Below are 19153 nucleotides of genomic sequence, written 5' to 3' on the forward strand. Positions count from 1 at the left end.
AAGAAGAGATGAGGTAACTCCCAAAGGAACCAAGAGACTAGCCATGCAATCTAGAGAAGATTCAAGACTGGAGCCAGCTGCCCAGGTTTCAATTCTGTCTTTCACACTCATCAGCTGTGTGAAATTAGAGGCATTCACTTGGAGTTTCTGTGCCTCAGTTTATAATCTGTAAAATGCAGATAATACAGTTGAGCATCCCTAATCCAAAAATGTGAAATCCAACATGTTCCAAAATTTGAAACTTTTTGAACACTGACGTGGTGCCACAAATGGAAAATTCCACACTTAACACAAACTTTGTTTCATGTACAAAGTGATTTAAAATATTGTACAAAATTATCTTCAAGCTATGTGTATAAGGTGTATATGAAACATAAATGAATTCCATGTTTAGACTCAGATGCTATCCCCAAGATATCTCATTATGTATATGCAAATATTCCAAAATCTGAAACAATCTAAAATCGGAGACACTTCTTGTCCCAAGCATTTCAGATAGGACACTCAACCTGTAATATATGGCTCATAAGGTAGTTGTGATATTGAGTTAAAACATGGAGAATAGTGCCTGGCACCCAGCAACAGCAGTATGTTTAGAAGCTATTGTTGGTGCTATACTTGTTATGCAAAAATCAAGACCAGTAGCAGTAGGGACAAAAACTAAATCCTTTCAGAAATTGCTCTGGTGAGAATGGAGCCATTAACTGGAGGAATATATTACAATAAGTCATTTTACATTTACCATTAGGATATGAAGTCCCCATTCATTGCCCCTGCTTCCCTAACATGTATTTCCCCAGCTACCCTCATGTGTCCAGACCTCCTAATGCACCCATCCTAAAATTTCTAACCCTAGTTTATTTGAATGGAAGTGAAATTTCATTTGGGATACTGGTTGAAAGGGGATTTTAAAATCATTTCTTAAGTAGAAAAGCATTGCTCTTAATGCATTGAGAGAGCCAGAAGCCTCCAAGAGACACACTTTTCAAAGGACATTGCTCTGAATATTATATAATCTGGGCATCTGAGGTTGAAAATAAATCCCAGGCACATTTCCCTCTTGCCCTGCCTCAGACAAGGGCATTGCCAAAGCTCTCAACCACATTTCCCCAACTACAAAGCAAGGATAAAAATATAAATATTACTCCAAGAGGAACTGCACTCATTTGAAAGAAAAGGAACAAGGGAAAAGGAATAAATAAAGAAAAAAGAGAGTGCATATTTGGAAACTATTACACTTTATTAGATTGGGAGGAGGGAGGCATTGTGGCATCTAAACACTTAAGGCAAGAAAGGAGCTGGGAAATAGGAACACCACTGGCCCTAGCCTCTTCTCCACAACTGAGCCACAGCTGGACTTGGAACAAATTGCTTAATCCTTACATGCCTTGGTTTATCCTGGGATGTCATGAAATTTCCCTAATGTCTGATCCTCCAGGTTCCTTAAGTGGCAGGTGGCTGGAGTAAAGGCATCATTTTCATTCAGCTGGTTTTCATTTTCTAAATATAATAAATGATGAAGGTAGCAATGATCAGTACTGACGTAACACAACAACCAAGGGGCTCAAGGTGTCTATAGACACCATCATTACTCTCAAGGTTTTTGCTATTTTTGCTCTACATTTTGTTACCCTTGGTAATGACTGTTGGCTCCAAGGTATTTACAGTCAAAAAACCTTCCTACTTTAGACAGAAACTTTACTCATGCTGTTTTAAAAGATCCCAAAGTGTGATATGTCTATCCAATAGTTGGAGGAAAGATAGAACTGAAGTTTGAGGCAAGTTAACTTTTTTCTGAAATAGGCCATCACCATTCAAGATAAATGTAAATTTATGATCTGATGGACACCCAAGCTTTTTATGCATGTACAGGCTCTTCCTGGTGTGTGCAGTCATGTCTCTTGTCCTTCACAGGGAGGTTTATAATGACCCTCATTTTCAGACTCAATTCCACCCCAATTCCTGAGCCAATTCTACCTAAAGCCAAAAGTCTATCCATTGTCTCAGGCCACCCTGAACACACAGGGCATCACCTTGAACTAGCGATAGGCCCAGATACAACTGCTGGGTTCACACCTTTCCTCCAAATTCCCTTGCTGTTCATTTATCATATCCAGTTCCTAGATTCCCAAACTCCTCAGGGTCAGCTTTCCCTGCCATCAACCCCATGCCCACCTCCCATGCGTACTCCCCAGGAGTCCCATCACTCTCACCAGTTACCTTCCTAGTTGCCCAGGCACAGACTGGACAATGGCCATCTCAACAATGGCTTAGGGAGACATGTGACCAATATCCACAAGGTCTCTCCAGGCCTTGAAATTGTGTCAACCCTCTAGAACCATCTAATGGCCCTAGAGAGGGGGAAACTCTGAAATAATTGAGATTAAATTCACTACCAGCACAAAGTGATAGAGGTTCTAATAGAATTGTATTTTAGAAAATAAAATAATTTTACATGCCTCTCTGAGTTTGGAGCTGCAGTCCATATCCCCACCATTTTGCCAGCATCCATCCTCCTGGGATGGGCCTGCTGCAGTCCCTGCTGGCTGGCATGATGCTGCCAATGGACAGAGCTCTCTGATGGTAAGTGACTCCCCACCTGACTCCAGTGGCTGAACAGCCGGCTTCAGCACCTCCTCCCTATGGTACAAACTGTACCAAAACACTTTCTCTGCCATTCCTTCCATCTTGGTAGGGACAACCCAACCCTCTTGCCACTTGATTTTCTCCTAAAAACCTAGTACACTCTTTCTTAACCAATGGGTCGTCTCCCCAGGAAAAAGCACACACCCATATACACAGGGAAACGTATTTTGGCCACAGGGATTCACTGACACATCAGAGGCCAGTGTATGAACTCCAGATTAAAAATCCCTGCCTTTGATACATACAGCTCAACACACACTCAGTTCATCTTGCTACCCAGAAAACAAGAAGCGACATGGACACCCACCCCAGGTCCAAGCCACTGATGGCAATTGTAGATGCTGCAAGGCAGCCATCTGGATTGACTGCCTCAAAGAATGACCCCTTCTGGGCATAATTCCAGAACACTCATGTGTAAAATTTATGGCTTTACTTAGAAACTAAATAATGCATGTCATTTTTAAAAGATACATCTTAATTATGCAATAATCCATTTAAAGTAGGTTTTAGTGGAAGGACTGGGGAGAGATTAGTCTACAATCCCAACTGGGAATAAATACCAGTAATAAATACCCCAACAATGGGAGCAGAGACCTTCCTGGCCCATCCTGTCACCTCCCAAGCCTTAGGGCAAAGCTGGGGAGAGAATACTCCAACATCAACCCACTGATTATGTCTTCTGTGGCCTGGACCAGAGATTCTAGAAAAACAGATGTGGAAATGAACAGTTAAGATATAGAAAATGGTTCCAATTTTAGCAGATACCATGAATAGCTAGCTGTACTTTCCTTACTCTTCCTTTTTCCTCATGAGGGTTCTGTGGCTAGAAACAAGGTATTGATGGGACTGAGATCGTAAGATTTTGCCTCCTTTCCTCTTTTGCTAGTAGTCCTATCCATGAGGGCCAAAGCTAAGACTAGGATGAGAATATATCATAAGTATTTTCACTTCTTTTTAAAATACATACACTCATGAAATCAATGTTTGGAAAGATTTTGTCTCCTAGAATAAATCACCCTTATTTTTTAAAGATCTCTAAGAAAGTTGACTCCCCAAGTTTTTAGCCAATATTTTATACCTGACAATCACACATTCAACCGTTATTAATATTTATTGTGTATATACTAGATGTCAAGTCCTATTCCAGATAGTACAGATATAACAAGGGCCTGCAGAGATCCTATGCAGTGAGCTGGCTAACGTTGACCAAGTGTAACATCTACAAGGAAAGAGAAGCGTGGTGTCCCCATAGGGGACCCAACCTAGGTAAGAAGTTCCTCCTCATGTCTAACTGAAATATGTCTTGTGTTATTCAAGTTCATTTTTTCTTCACACAAATAGAGATGAGAAAATCATTTCTTTTGTTAAAACCCTTATAAAATGGTTACATTCATGAAATCTTCTCTTTTTCTTCTCTTCTGTTGATTAAACAGCTCCACTTCTTTTAACATTTCCTCACAGGACATATTTCCTTGCCTTTAATAATAAGTTTCCTCTTATTGGGGCAGACCTTTACCATTTATAAGGCACTTTGTGGTTTACAGAGCACTTCCGCATCATTATCACACTTTGATCTTCACAACAACACTGCAAGGAAGGTGCTGCAGATATTTGCTGAGCGCCAAGTATGCCCAAACCACTATTCTAGGGCTGTGGGGGTGCCCGTGCCACTTTACACTTGTCCCCATTGAAATTTATCCCAGCTTTGTGGAGCCATTTTCTCAATGAGTCAAGGCCATTTTGAATTTTATTTCTGTCTTGCTGAGCAGCAACAACTTCACCTAATTTAGTGCCTGCTGCAAATTTCATGAGGATAATCTTAATTCCTTCATCCAGCCCATCAAAATAGCTATTGAGTAGGATAGATCCTAGCCCCAATACCTCTGAGATAGCACTCAATATGTCCCCCTAGATTGATAACTCCCCTTGGGGTGAAGCCTTCTATCCTCTAGCAGAAGTGTAGACAGAAATATACTTTAATAACATATCAAAGACAGTGCCTTAGTTAAGAAATCAAAATCTTTACTAAAATTGAGATAGATCCCATCAATCAATTCCACTGGTCTACATAGCCTCTCACAATCATGGGAGGAAATTAAATTGGTCTGGCACTATTTGCTCTTTACAGAGCTTTACTGATTGCTACTTAGTATTTTATGTCCTTTCAGGTGCTATTCAATTGATTATTTGGTGATTTATTTCAAGATCTTCCCAGGTATCGATGTTAAGCTCACAGTTCTGAAATTTTCAGGGTCATCCTGTCTTTCTCTCTCAAAGATGGGCACCTCGTTTACCCTTTTGCTATCCTTAGGGGATTTTCCAATCCTCTGTGATTTGGGGGAAACACTATCTAACAGTCCTAAGATGAAAGTTGAAAATTCATTCAGTATCCTACAGGGCAAGCCATCAGGTCCTGCTGACTTGAACATATTAGGTTTTTCTAAGTTTTCTAACTATGCAGTCCTTTTGACCTTCTGTCCTCCTATTACAATTGGGACTTATTCCAGGCAGCAATTTATAGTTGTTATTATCTTCCCCCCTGGGGGAGGGGAGTGAGGATGACATTGTAAAAAAATAAAATAAATAAAATAAAAAGCTCTACTTTTTACTCTCTCTTCTGCTTTAGCATCTCGGGCAGAGACCATGTCATGCATCCAGATCCCGTTTCCTTTTCCTCTTCTTGGCCATCCCGGAAGACTGCATTTCCCAGCCTCCTTTGCATTAAATTGGGCTCATGTGATTGGGTTTGGGGCCAATCTAATGATGGAAAGAATGATGCACACCACTTTCTGGCCTGAACACAAACTCTCTGCATGATCTTCCATATTTTCTCTTCTCCTTTGGTAACAATGTGGTCAGTGCATGTTGATGCAGGACCAACACAAGAGAAGGGAGATTGGACACATGGAGAACACTCAGGAAGGCTGCCCTAGAGAATTTCCTGACTTGCACTGAGCTGTGACATAAATAAGAGATGCACTCTGGTACTGTTAAACCACTAGCTAATAGGAAGTTTTCTTTATGTCGATCTAAAATCTCTCTCCCTGCCGTCCTCTCACACTGACCCGAGTTTTACCCTTTGAGACAGACAGGGAATATTTCTCTGTCAATTATAAGGTAAAATTGTCTAAGTGTCCATTTTTGATGAATAAAATACTTAAAGAATATCTTTTCTTATTTTCTATTATGTTTCCTAGGTATATATTTTTTATTTCGACCTTGCTAATCAGTCATACTATTTTATATATTTATGTAAATTGTGATTTCATGTTGAGGAGACCTTGCCAAAGGACCTTAATCCATCATATGCTACACAAAGAGAAAACTGACAAGATCAATTTTTTTGTTATAAGAAATTACAGCGGGTTAGATAACTATGTATGCATGTGTTTTAATTTGAAAAGGTTCTGTAAAATTACCTACTAGAAAGAAAAATGTAACAAATACCTGAGTAACCATCACCCAATGTTTCTATGTCTTAATCTATAAAAGAAACAAAACAGCCCAAGTGCCTCAGTTCCTTCCTTGGTCTCATTTCCCTTAATCCTACCTCAGAAAAAAACTTTAAATAGACACAAGCTCTCACTGTGTTGTCCAGGCTGGTCTCAAACTCCTCAGCTCAAGCGATGTTCCTACCTTGGCCTCCCAAAGTGCTGGGATTATAGGTGTGAGCCACCACGCCTGTCCAAGTCTGCCTTTATATACTTGAACTACAGATAGATAGATAGATAGATAGATAGATAGATAGATAGATAGATAATAGATTTATAGATATGTGTGTATATATGTATATATATTTGATCATGAAGAATGTATTATATTCTGTGTTTTTAGTTTACATAAATGGTGGTATGTTTATCTCTACACAACTTGATTTTTTTTCACTTACTGTTATATTTTGAGACATAATCAATATGATACATATAGGTCTAGTTTATTCCTGTTTAACTGCCTTGTGGTATTAATCCATTGTATAAATACAGCTAGAGATTATTTCTCCATTTCCCTGTTCATTAATGGACATAGGCTATTTACAATTCATCACTATTACAATAATGCCAGTTATACTCTGAAGTGGTTATACTGCTTTTCTTTCTCACAAGTTATGTATGCCAGTTTGTATTTCACCATTCCTTAATCAGTACTTGGTATAGTTGAGATAGTTTTATTTTTGCTAGTCTTCTAGATCTTCCTGTTTAAATTTGCATTTCATTCTATTCAGCCTTCAATTTTCATAAGATTCTTCTATAAGGTATTATGCATATTATTCATATAAATTATTAAATATTTTATAGTTTTATTCATACTATAAATGACATATTTTTGTACTGCTGCATTTTCTAATTTTGTTCAATTAATAATTTTCTGAAAGGACACAGGATTTGTAACAACCAACCCAGGAAAACAACATCTAATCAAAAAATTTTTTAATTTTAAAAATATTTTATAGTATTTTTATTTGTTAATATAAGGCTCAGCCTTCATGCATTCAACAAATATTATTTAATGGCTACTAGGTTCTAGGCCCACACTTAACAAAGGGGCCACTCCCTTGAGTATAAGACAGGCAATGCCTGCAGTTGTGGTCCCATTGACAATCTAATGGTGCTCAATAAATAAGCAAACAAAAAAATGAAATGGAATATTTTTATATTTATTGATAATCTACTTCCCATGATTGTGGAAAATTCAGTAGCTCTTGGGACTCCAACCCTCCCTCTAAATTGTCCAAACCCCAGAACACAAGTACATATATTTGCTTCTTTCTGCCATGTGATGTCACTGCAAGAAACTGAGCCCCCACTCTGCCACAGATGATACTGTCTTCTGTAACTGCAGAGGCCTGCCCTTCACCACACTAGCCCTGACACCCATGTGCTCCTGCCCATACCACGTCAAACACCAGTACTTGGACTTTCTCTTCTACATCCCCACTGCTTGTGTCACTGAAGAGTAGGAGACAGTGTGACTGTCCCCTCAATGCCATTTGAGCACAATTTAACACATTTTCTGGGCACAGGTACACTTCCTTCTACTGCAGGATCCATAGGCAATGCACATTGTGCATGCAGCTAGCAGAGGGTGATCCTCACCTGAAGAGCAAGTCCCAAGAAGAGCAAGTCCAGTCCTTCCCAGTTGCTCCACCCAGGCCACTGGCTATGCTCTCTTACATACAGGGACCTTCTAGAGGATTGGCTCTGCTTCCATGGGCATCTCTGATAATGCTACCCATGGGCCTCAGCAGTTTCTCCATGAACTTACTACTTCTTACTTACCTCAAGAATGGCTTCCTGACATTTCCAACCCTACCTTCTCAGCCCTGCCCACAACAAGTCCTCCAAGGTGACCTGATTTCCCCTCTATTCTTTTTCCAATCTATTGTGTACTGTGACGGCATAAAATCCATCCTCAGCTTTCCTTCTCTTTTGATTCTCAAGAGCCTATATTGAAAGCCAAATAGATCAAGTATTGAGTCTGTCTTCTGCTATTGCAATGCTGTCTCTTCAAGGAAATGCAGCTACCTGTGACAAATCAGAGAATGAGTTATACACCATGAAGTGCAGAAATAAAAGCATGAAGATTAAGACTCCAGGATACTATACAGCAGAAAGCTGAGAAACAAGAGAACTTAGAGTTCTGGAGTCAGACTACCTAGGTTTGAATCCCACTTCTGCCATTTACTGGTATGTAATTTTGGACAAGTTACTTAACCACTCTGTGCTTCAGTTTCCTTGTCTGTGAACTGGAGCATATAATAAACTACCTCAAAGTATTATTGTGATGATCAAATAAAGCCTACATTTTTAAAGCATTTAGAATAGTGCCAGGAACATAGCAAACACTCAAAAATATGAGCCATTATTGTATACTTGAAGATAACTCGTGGCTAGTTCACGTTCAGCTAATCACACAGCATCTTGGGTCTAGATGCTTGTCTCACAATTCCCAGACTTTGGTTATGCCTGAATATGGGGTGGTCATCATCTGGAAGCCCTGCATCTTCATGAAGCTGTTCTTCATTCTTGCTTGGTTTCCAAGAAACGTATGGCCCAGATGTCTCACTACATAGTTTCACTCTTTACTACTGGTTAGCATTTCAACCAGAAGTCTTTTCTGTGTCTCCTGCCATGGAGATAGCCACATGGCTTATTGCCTCATTTCCTTCAGGTTCTACTTAAATGCCACTTCCATGGAGAAGCTGTCTCCAAAAAGAGAACCTGGTATACTTCATTCCACCTGTCTGCTTTATTTTTCTCCATAGCACTTACCAGTACCTAACATTTTATTTGTGTATAAAATGTTATATAATGACATACATGTATGTAATTTATATGTTGTAAAATGTTATATAAATAGATATTACACATGTACAGTCATGCACCATGTAACAATGTTTGGGTCCATCACAGACCACATATATGACAGTGGTCACATAAGATTATGATGGAGCTCAAGAATTCCTCTTGCCTAGTGATGTCGGAGCTGTCCTAATATAGCACAATGCATTACACACATTTGGAGTGATGTGGGTATAAACTGATCATATTGTGCTGCCAGGCGTATGAAAGTATAGCACATACAATTATGTGCAGCTCATAATACTTGATAATAAATGACTATGTTACTGGTTTATGTATTTACTATACTATACTTTTTATCATTATTTTACAATATACTCCTTCTAATTATTAAACTAAAAAAAAAGGTTAACTGTAAAACAGGCTCAGGCAGGTCCTTCAGGGGGTATTCCAGAAGAAGGCATTGTTATCATAGGAGACAACAGCTCCATGTGTGCTATTCCCTCTGAAGACCTTCCAGTGGGGCAAAATGTGATATTGATATTTATAGGCAAAGACAGGGATATTGATGATCTTGAGCCTGTGTAGGTCGAGGCTAATGTGTGTTTGTGTCTTTGTTTCTAACAAAAAATTTTAAAAGTAAAAAAGTCACACTGAAAATTTTCAAAATAGAAAAAACTTATAGTATAAGGATGTAAAGAAAGAAAACCTTTTTTAATGACTGTTCAGTGTGTTATGTTTTAAGCCAAGTGATATTAAAGTTAAAGATAATGTAAAAGTTTATAAAGTAAAAAATTTACAGAAAGCTACGGTTAATTTATTACTGAAGAAAGAAATATATATTTTTACAAAGTTAGTGTAGCCTAAGCATACAGTGTTTCTAAAGTCTACAGTGGTGTACAGTAATGTCCTACGCCTTCACATTCACTCGCCACTCACTCACTGACTCACCAGAGCAATTTCCAGTCCTGCAAGCTCCATTCAAGGTAAGTGCCCTATATAGGTGTGCCATTTTTTAATCTCCTCTACGGTATTTTTTTTTTTTTTTTGAGACTGACTTTCACTTTTGTCACCCAGCTGGAGTGCAATGGCGCAATTTCAGCTCACTGCGACCTCCCAGATGCAAGCGATTCTCCTGCCTCAGCCTCCCAGGCAGCTGGGATTACAGGCACCCACCACCACGCCCAGCTAATTTTTGTATTATTAGTAGAGGTGGGGTTTCACCATGTTGGCCAGGTCTCTAACTGCTGACGTCAGGTGATCCACCCACCTCTGCCTCCCAAAGTGCTGGGATTACAGGCATGAGCCACCACACCAGCCTCTCTACTGTATTTTTATTGTACCTTTTCTATGTTTAGATACACAAATGTTTACCATTGTGTTACAATGGCCTACAGTAGTCAATGCAGTAACCTACTGCATAGGTTTGCAGCCTAGAAGCAATAGGCTATACCATCTAGCCCAGGTGTGTCATAAGCAATACCATCAAGGTTGGTATAAGTACACTCTATGATGTTGACAGGATGAAATCACCTAATGGTGATTCTCAGAGTGTATCCCCATTGTTAAGCAATGCACAACTATCGATGATTTACAGGAAGCACTTTCCAAAGAGGGGCATGTCTGGCTCATTCTCATTTCAGGTTTCTGAACTAATGTCATCTTCTCAGAGAGGATTTCCATGGCCATGGTAGTTACTCTCCAAGGCTGCTTTATGCCTTTCTAGTAGCTATGGCTCTATAATTATTGTATATTTTTGTATTCATTCATTCATTTGCTAATTATTTGGGTCTTCTAGAGCAACGCAAGCTTCATCGGGGCAGGGGATTGTCTTTTTATTGCTGTATTCCCAATACCTAGGACAATACCATAGTAGTTACACAGTAAATAAATACTGGGTGTATGAACAAGTTTGTGAATGAATAATTTTCTTTAGCTCATAAAATCCTTTAGCTTTACCCTTCGTTCTAGTTTTCCTTTCAACTGAAAATATCTTCCTCCCAACCTCTACATTTCCAAATCTTACCCAGTCTTCAGCTCTAACTAAAATGTCTCCTCCTCCAAGAAGACATTCTTGAGGTATGGCCAGTTTGCTAGCTGGCTTCAGTAGCCATTCTTTCCTTCTCCCATAGGAACAGAGCTCCAGCTTTGAGCTGTCAGGCACATAATCTTTCAGAAAAACAGCTACATTTCTCAATTTTCCCTGCAGCTAAATGTGGTCATGTGGCTAATTTTTAATCAATGAAATGTAAGCAGAAATGTAGTATGTCAGCTTTCAGATGGATTCCATTTTAATAAAAAGCTTTTGTATACCCTACCTCCCTTTTTCATCTCTTTCTCTATCCAGCTTCCTGAAATCCGTTGTGATGGCTGGAGCTCTAGGTACTATCTTGAACCATGAGGATGCAGGTCAGAGCCTAAGGATGGCATAATTGTGAGCCAGAAGGAGCCCAAGTTCCTGAAGACCCAGCAAAACAGAACTCCCACACCAGTTCACCTACTGACCTCTGGACTTTACCTGGAGGAGAAATAAACTTTTAATTTGTTTAAGCCATTATTCACTTTTTTTAAATTAGAAGCCAAACCTTATCTTAACTGATATATTCAGCTAAAAATCACCTACCTCTTCAGAATACCATATACTTGAATACTGTAGCTGGAACTTTCTTATAAAACATCATTCCACTTTTCTGTTTTAGTATTAGCCAACCATTTATTGAGTGAATACTGTGCCAAACACTGAGTTAATTCTCCCAACCACCCTACAAGGTAGGTATTTTTATTTCCATTTAGCAGGGGAGAACGCTGAGGTTCATGGGGCTTTGGTGACTTCTCTAATTTTTTACAGTAATAAATGGCAAGCAGCAGGATTTGAACCCAGACCTCTCCAACCCCAAAGTCTGTGCTTTTCCTACTACACCCATATGCATGTCTTCCCGCATCTACTGTAAGCTCCTTGAGGGCAGGGACCATGGCTTATGATCCTTTGTACTTTCATAATGCATACCCCAGTTCCTGCCACGTCTTAGGTCATCATAAATACTGAGTGGATGAGTGAGCAAGTGAGTGAGTGAATGAATGAGTGGACAGATGAATGGCTGGATAGTTTCTTTGGCACACAGTTCATGGAAATATCATTCCATTTTGTTTATAACTTTCTGACATACACCCTCAGGACCAAAGCTGGAGCCATAAGCAACAATATTAGGCAGGTGTTGTAGGTTAGATTCCCCAGAAGCAGAGCCTGAGACAGGGATTTGGTCCGCATGATTTGTGGAGGGAGTGTTCTTCCAAAAGCACCTGCAGGGGAGTATGTAAAGGCAAGCAAGGACGTGGTACCAGATCAAGTCCTCCCTTGGCCTGATCCACAAAGAGCCTGGAATACAATCCACCCGACAGAGTCATCTCTGCCTTGAGGCAGTCAGTCCTTGTCTGCAGGGCTTCCCGCTGTGGGAGGCAGAATCCCCAGTCCTCCTCAGTGCAGGGCAGTCCTCCTGAGAAGGGGGCAGTGGTGAGGAGCACCCACTACTCACAGCAGCCAAGGGATGGGGGACCTGGGGAAGGAGCTCTGGGCTGCACCAACAGCACTCGGACAGCAAGATTTTCATTGGAAAGGGTAAAAAAGAAATGTCACTCAGCTTCATTTCAGAAGTGGGGAAAACCTGATGTCAATGAGCTTATCTTGACTGCAAATATGTAAAACCACCCCAAATCTCTACCTCTCTCGAGTGAAGTGAGACCCTCCCTGCAACCATATATGTTTTCAATCACTTCAATTCCATGATTAGGCTTCCTCTTTGAGATTTTTTTTTCAAAACTTTTCAGACAACTTCTCAATCTTCTATACACATAACCAAAACCTTTAACAAATATGCCAGGGAGGGGTGTTTGTGTGTGTGTGTTTGTGTGTGTGTGTGGTATGTGTGTCTGTGTGTCTGTCTGTCTGAATATCAAACTATGCAAATAAACAAAGCTTCATTATTAGTCACAAATAAGGATAATCATTAAATAGTATTTTCTTTGAAGTCGAAGAGTAGAATATTCAGAAAATGAAACCAAATTATTCTTCTAGCCCAGATTACTACTTAACAGTAAACTCTATTCATTAAATACAGCCATTGAAGAAAATTCATGAGGGAAAAATATGATGCTATTTTGTAACTTGACAAATATGAGGCAACGATGTTGTCTGGGAACATCATTTGAACAGTAGCAGAATTATGGAGCTTTGAGAAAGCGTCTGTCTTTTGGTCAGCTTCTTCACTGACCCTGTGTGACCCAGTTTGTTGGATCTCAGTGCTAAAGAGTGGTGTTGGTAGCATATAACAGCTTCCCATCCCCAAAAGCCAGCCATCAATGCCCACTGTACCCAGTTAGCACACCAGGAGAACAAAAACACTGATATTCCAAAGCTACTCTGCTGTCACATAAAGGGGAACATGCACTAATCTTTTCCTGGATTATACCGATTAAATAGAAGAATTTCCTTGTTTTATCTTCTGGCTCTCTTTCTCTCTCTCTCTCTTTCTCTCTCTCTCTCTCTCTCTCTCTCTCTCTCTCTCTCTCTCTCTCTTTCTATTTCTCAATTTATCTTTGAGATTTTTACCCCAGGACAACTTTCCCAAAAACTCATCAAAAAATGTTCCAAACCTCAGCTAAGGTTTACACCCTGAGAATTTGTTATTCATGAGCCAGGCCTTTTGAAGTCTGATTTCTCAGGATTGATGCTTTATCTTTAAACAGTGAACATGAACATTGACTCAAAGGGCCTCTGACAATCACTTAGGAATAACTCAGACATTTGTGTCTGGGCAAGGTCTCCCCTACACAGGGAACCTTTTGTAAATATTACTTACTAGAACCATAACACTAATAGATGTAGTTAATAATTATCACAATGTGCCAAAACTGCACAGTTTGCTCCCTGATTACAATATTAAATTGCTATTGAGCTGTGGTATTCGCTTCAGGCAATACTAGTAAGAACCCCCTAAAGACCATGGCTGGCCTCACCATACAAAAATGGAAAATGTTCCACTGCACACAATGCTCAGGCAGCAGTGGGCTTTGCCAGAAAACAAACACAAAACTCAAACAATAGAAGGAAAGTTTTATCAGAGCTGAAGTGTCCTTTCACTTGGGAACTGTCATCTCTCAGAAAGAAAAACACGCACACGCTTGATAGCGGCTCACAAGGCAAGCCATTACTATGAGCACGGTGACTCACAGTGCAGATAGAGAATACTGTGCAGCCAGAGCTGAGAGGCTTTGTTTTATTTGCATCTGATGATGTCTTGAGATAGGCCATTCCAGCTCTGAGAAGTTGAGAGACCCTCAGAATGCGAACAGGCTTCTCTCTCTGTGAGCAGGGAGGGAATTTTCTTTTCCCACACACCGTCTCCTCTTTGCCTGACAGGTCAAGTGGCCTGGACAATAGGGCAAAGCTACTGAGAGCAAAACTGCAATTTAATTGAGAAGTGTCATTAGCTCCAGGATGGCACATTCAAAAGCAGACACATGGGAGGCACTTGTCATATGCAGCACACACCAGTTCACTCCTCATTCACCCACACACTGCCATCCTACCTCCATATTTGCAATTTCAGAAACCCACAGTGGGAAAATGAGCACTTAGCAATCAATTTGCACAGACAGCCGCCCAGCCTGCACAAACAGGAGGCTGGTTTGCCCACCCTGGAGATGCAGAAGCATTTCAAGGGGACAGCCACTACTGAGGCTGAACTTAAAATATGGTGCTTTACAGGAAATCGGGGCTCCTGAATGCTGCAGTAACAAGAAAAAGAAACAGCGGCTATTAGGCAACTAATTAAAAGAAATTCAACAAGAAGGATGCTACTTGTGCCTTGACCCAATTCAGACCTGGCAAACCAGTAAACAGCCAGCAAAATGCTTTTGTGCTGGTTAGGAGAGGTTACATTGGAAGTCATCTGCCGTTCTCTTAGCAGCTGCATTGGCTCTGGCCTGTGCAGGCAGGACATGGTAATGGATGTTCCTGGCACAGAGGAGAGAGTAAATGGCTGCTCCTTTTCTTCCCGCAATGCAGCAAGTCTACCTGCTCCAGATTACCAAGGTGTGCTGGGTTGGATCCATTCCCCAGGCCAGTACAACCTGGTGTGAGCTTGGAACTCAACGGGTAATTCAAGCCACCACATCACCTGTAACACATATAAGGTCTTTTATGTTTAATTTTCATCAAATTTGCCAATAGTCAATGTACCTGGGCCTCTTTCTTAGATGCTGCAGGATAAACATTCTCCATTTCTCCTGGGAATTTTTGGTATTACCTTTCCCTTCTTTTTGTTTACAAAAATATACTTTTTCACTACAAATTTCTTTTTCACATCTTAATCTATATTTTATGAATCCCTCAAGGATAAATAAGATGTTTGTTTATTTCCCCATTTACAATGCTGTGTGACCTTGGGCAAGTTACTACCACTCTGTGCAGCAGTTCCTCATTTAAAAGTTAGGATGATGCTAATGCCTATAAAATCTCTTAGCAGAAATGCCCAGTACAAAACAAGCCTCCAAAACCTGTTAGCTGATGATGTTGTTATTATTATTGCTATTGTTATTAGCACTCTTGTCTTTTATCCTCAGAATCTAACAGTGCCTGGTACACAAAAGAGGTTCGGAATATGTTCTGTGACCAGCTGACTGACTGAATAAATGACTGAATGGATGACTGCTTTAAGTAACAAGCAGCTTTCTATCCTGAGTTGCTCCATCCCAATCATCATTCTCCCCTATGCCAAGAAATAAGGAGGTTGGGTCACATCATTTCATCTGCTGCATTCTGTACCTCTCAAGTCTCAAGGTCAACTGTCAGACACAACCCAACAAAAGAGGATAGCAACATAAACGAGATTTTCTTTCTTTATTATTATTATTATTTTTTAGAGACAGAGTTTTGCTCTGTCACTCAGGCTGGAGTGCAGTGGCATGATTATAGCTCACTACAGCCTCAAACTCCTGGGCTCAAGCAATCCTCCCATCTTAGCCTTCCCACCTCCCCAGGAGCTGGGACTACAGGCATGCACCACCATGCCTGGCTGTTTTGTATTTTTTGTAGAGACAGGGCCTCGCTATGTTGTCCATTCAGGTCACAAACTCTTGGCCCCAAGCAATCCTCTTGCCTTGGCCTCCCAAAGTGCTGGAATTACAGGCGTGAGCCACTGTGCCCACCTAGAAGTGTAATTTTTTAAAAGTCTTGTCTTTCACTCTAACGAGCCTGTGAATTTGAAGGGAATAAATAATCCAAGCTGTTCCTGATGATTATTTTCAAGGATGCTCATACTGGGATGGAAGGTTGGGGAAGAGGAAGCACATATCAGCAGCACTATCTATGGCTCCTCCCAAAACTACCACGAGAAGAAGAGAAACCAATAGAAAGGCTGGCTGTCTGTATAGAAGTTCCCATCACAGAATAGACCACTGAGCTCAAGCTAATCACATGTCAATGAAGTGATTTCACAGAGGCATTGAGAGTAGAAGGGCACTGGAGTTACGCATACCCATGTTCTAATTCCAGTTCTGACACGTGAGCCATGGACAAATGACTGAAGCTCTTTGAGTCTCATATCGTTCATCGGTGAAATGGGGATGAAATCCCCTCACAGGGCTTTGGGAAGTGTAAATGAAAGGATATATAGAGAGAACTTAGGATAAAGTCTTTTACACAGAAAGCTTAGGTATTTTTGAGGTTAGTGGATCACTCTCCATGCTGAATTCCAAGCAAACTGGGAAATAGACTCAGGCCTTCAAAATGGATCAAATGTTACTTTTGTAATTGGGGAAACTAGACTGGGTTTAGGGCCAAATTGGGCCTTCTACTCCTCATAACTTCAAACCGACCCACACCTTGAGATCCACAAAAGGGAGAATAGCATCTACTATTTCAGCGACACAGAAACACCCCTTGCTCCTCCTCCCACTAGTGGTATTGGGATCTGCCGCTAGAGCTCCATTTCCCTCTGCTGTCCTCATTGCAACAGGCAGGTGAGCTGCGTCATTCCCATTGCAGCCTAATCCTTAAGCTGAGTCCATTCCTCCTCTTCCACATGTAGGACTAGATCCCAGAGCCTTCTTTCCTTTTGCTTCTCTTTTTCTTTCTGCCCCAGATACTCATCTCTCTTAACCTATTCTTGCATATTCTCCTGGAGCCCGAGGCTATATGGGATGGTCTGTTGCTTCTGGGCTACAAACCTGGACAGCATGTTACTGTACTAAATACTGCAGGCAACTGTAACACAGTGGTAAACATATCTAAACATAGAAAAGGTACAGTAAAAATACAGTATTATAATCTCATGGGACCACCATCATATCCACGGTCCATGATTGACCACAACATTGTTAGATGGCACAAGACTGTATTTCCCAGGAACCTTCTCTCAGGGGATACACAATGGTTACATTCCCACCTACAATTTCTGGGTTACACCAAAACTCATCTAATTCTAGTTAAATTTTTCATCTCCCATCTCCCTGGTCTTCCTAACTTAAATCTGTGCAAAAGGATAGCACACTGGACACAGCTATCTCAGTCTCCAAGCTTTCCCAATGGCTTTTATTTTGACTCTTTATCCCGGCATTAAATACACCCCTCACAACTGGGGCTTCTCACATCCCTCAGGGATAATCATTCTCATTTGTTCTCCGAGACCTTGCCTGTCTTCCTCTTTTGGAGCTCTTTGTGCCCAGTCCCTCCCCTGATCTGTTAATTCTCTTACTCTCCTATTGACAAGCAATATGCCTGACTATATTTGCTTTTTCCTTTCCCATTAGTCTAGCCCAGTATTTTAGATGCTTGCCAAAATCTTTGGGACAAGATTGTATTGTGTTTCTTTTAAAATAATCAAGGAGGCAGATGTTTCAGACCATCTCACTTCTAAGAGACTTAGACATCCTGTGGTTTCTAAGAAATCCTGTGACAGACCAGTCTCTACAGGCCTGAACCATTGACTGACCTAGAGACCAGTCAATAATTGGTTTATTACCACTGCTTTGGCCTTGACTCTACATAGATTACTGAACATTGAGATATTACTCATGGGTTTTAGCCATTTGCTTGTGAGATGAATGATTTCAAGCACCCACAACAGCCTGGACTCCCTTGGCTTTGAGGGGAGCAAGCATAGAGGTCTGGCCTATAACCAGACAACTGCTACAAAGTAGGGCAGCAGGTGGGTGTGCTCTCATTCTTTATACAATTTCCTGAGAAAGAAACGTTTGGCAATGAAGACAACCAATGACAGTTCCACTCCCTCCTTTGAAGCAGATTTTATAAACTAACCTCAAAGATCAAGCTTCCACAATTTTTGAATACTTAGCAAGCATTATATATTCCATATGTTGTAATAATATAAAATTTATCTTTTGGGAAAAGCATACACAAATTTTGATGTGCCTTAACTTGAAAACAATAGCTAACTCAACCGATATATTACTTTCTTCTTTTTCCCCCAAGAAGGGGTGACTGAATCATCAAATACACGATAGGAGTTAAGGGAATATTAGGCCTACAAAGGAGAATTTGACCAAGAATCTCCCAGAAGGACATTATGTTAAGTAAAATAAGCCAGGAACAGAAAAATAAACACAGCATCTTCTCACTCACATGTGGAAGCTTAAGAAAGTAGTTCTCATAGAAGTAATAAGTAGAATGGAGGATACTAGAGGCTGGGAAGGGTAGGGGGGAGGGAAGGATAGGAAGAGATTTGTTAAAGGGTACAAAATTACAGCTAGATAGGATCAATACATTCTAGTGTACTATATCACTCCAGGATGATTATAGTGAACAATAACATATTATATAGTTTCACATAGCTAGAAAGAGGATATTGAAGGTTCTCAACACAAAGAAATGATAAATGTTTGAGATGATGGATATGCTAATTACCCTGATCAGATCACTAGACATTCTATGTATTGAAATACCACCATATACTCTATAAATATGTATGATTCTGTGTCAATTTTAAATTTTTAAACGTAATTTAATTTTTAAAAAGAAAAACAATTCTGGAAGAGATGGAGGAGAATTCATATTATCTATCTTATAAATATTTGATGGAATTTACCTACAAAGCCATCAAGACTTGAAGTTGCCCTTGTGGGAAAATTTTTAACTACAAATTCAATTTCCTTAATAGATAAGATGCTATCCAGATGTTTTGTTTCTTCTT

General features: G+C 40.2%; 1 annotated feature.

Moving 5' to 3' along the window:
- Positions 13001-15103: an enhancer, noted in NCBI's record as "VISTA enhancer hs1566". NCBI's record gives its function as "enhancer in: forebrain[4/5]" and the evidence as "EXISTENCE:transgenic organism evidence [ECO:0001131][PMID:17130149]".

Source organism: Homo sapiens, chromosome 18 (genome assembly GCF_000001405.40).
Source record: "Homo sapiens chromosome 18, GRCh38.p14 Primary Assembly".
NCBI classification, from domain to species: Eukaryota; Metazoa; Chordata; class Mammalia; order Primates; family Hominidae; genus Homo; species Homo sapiens.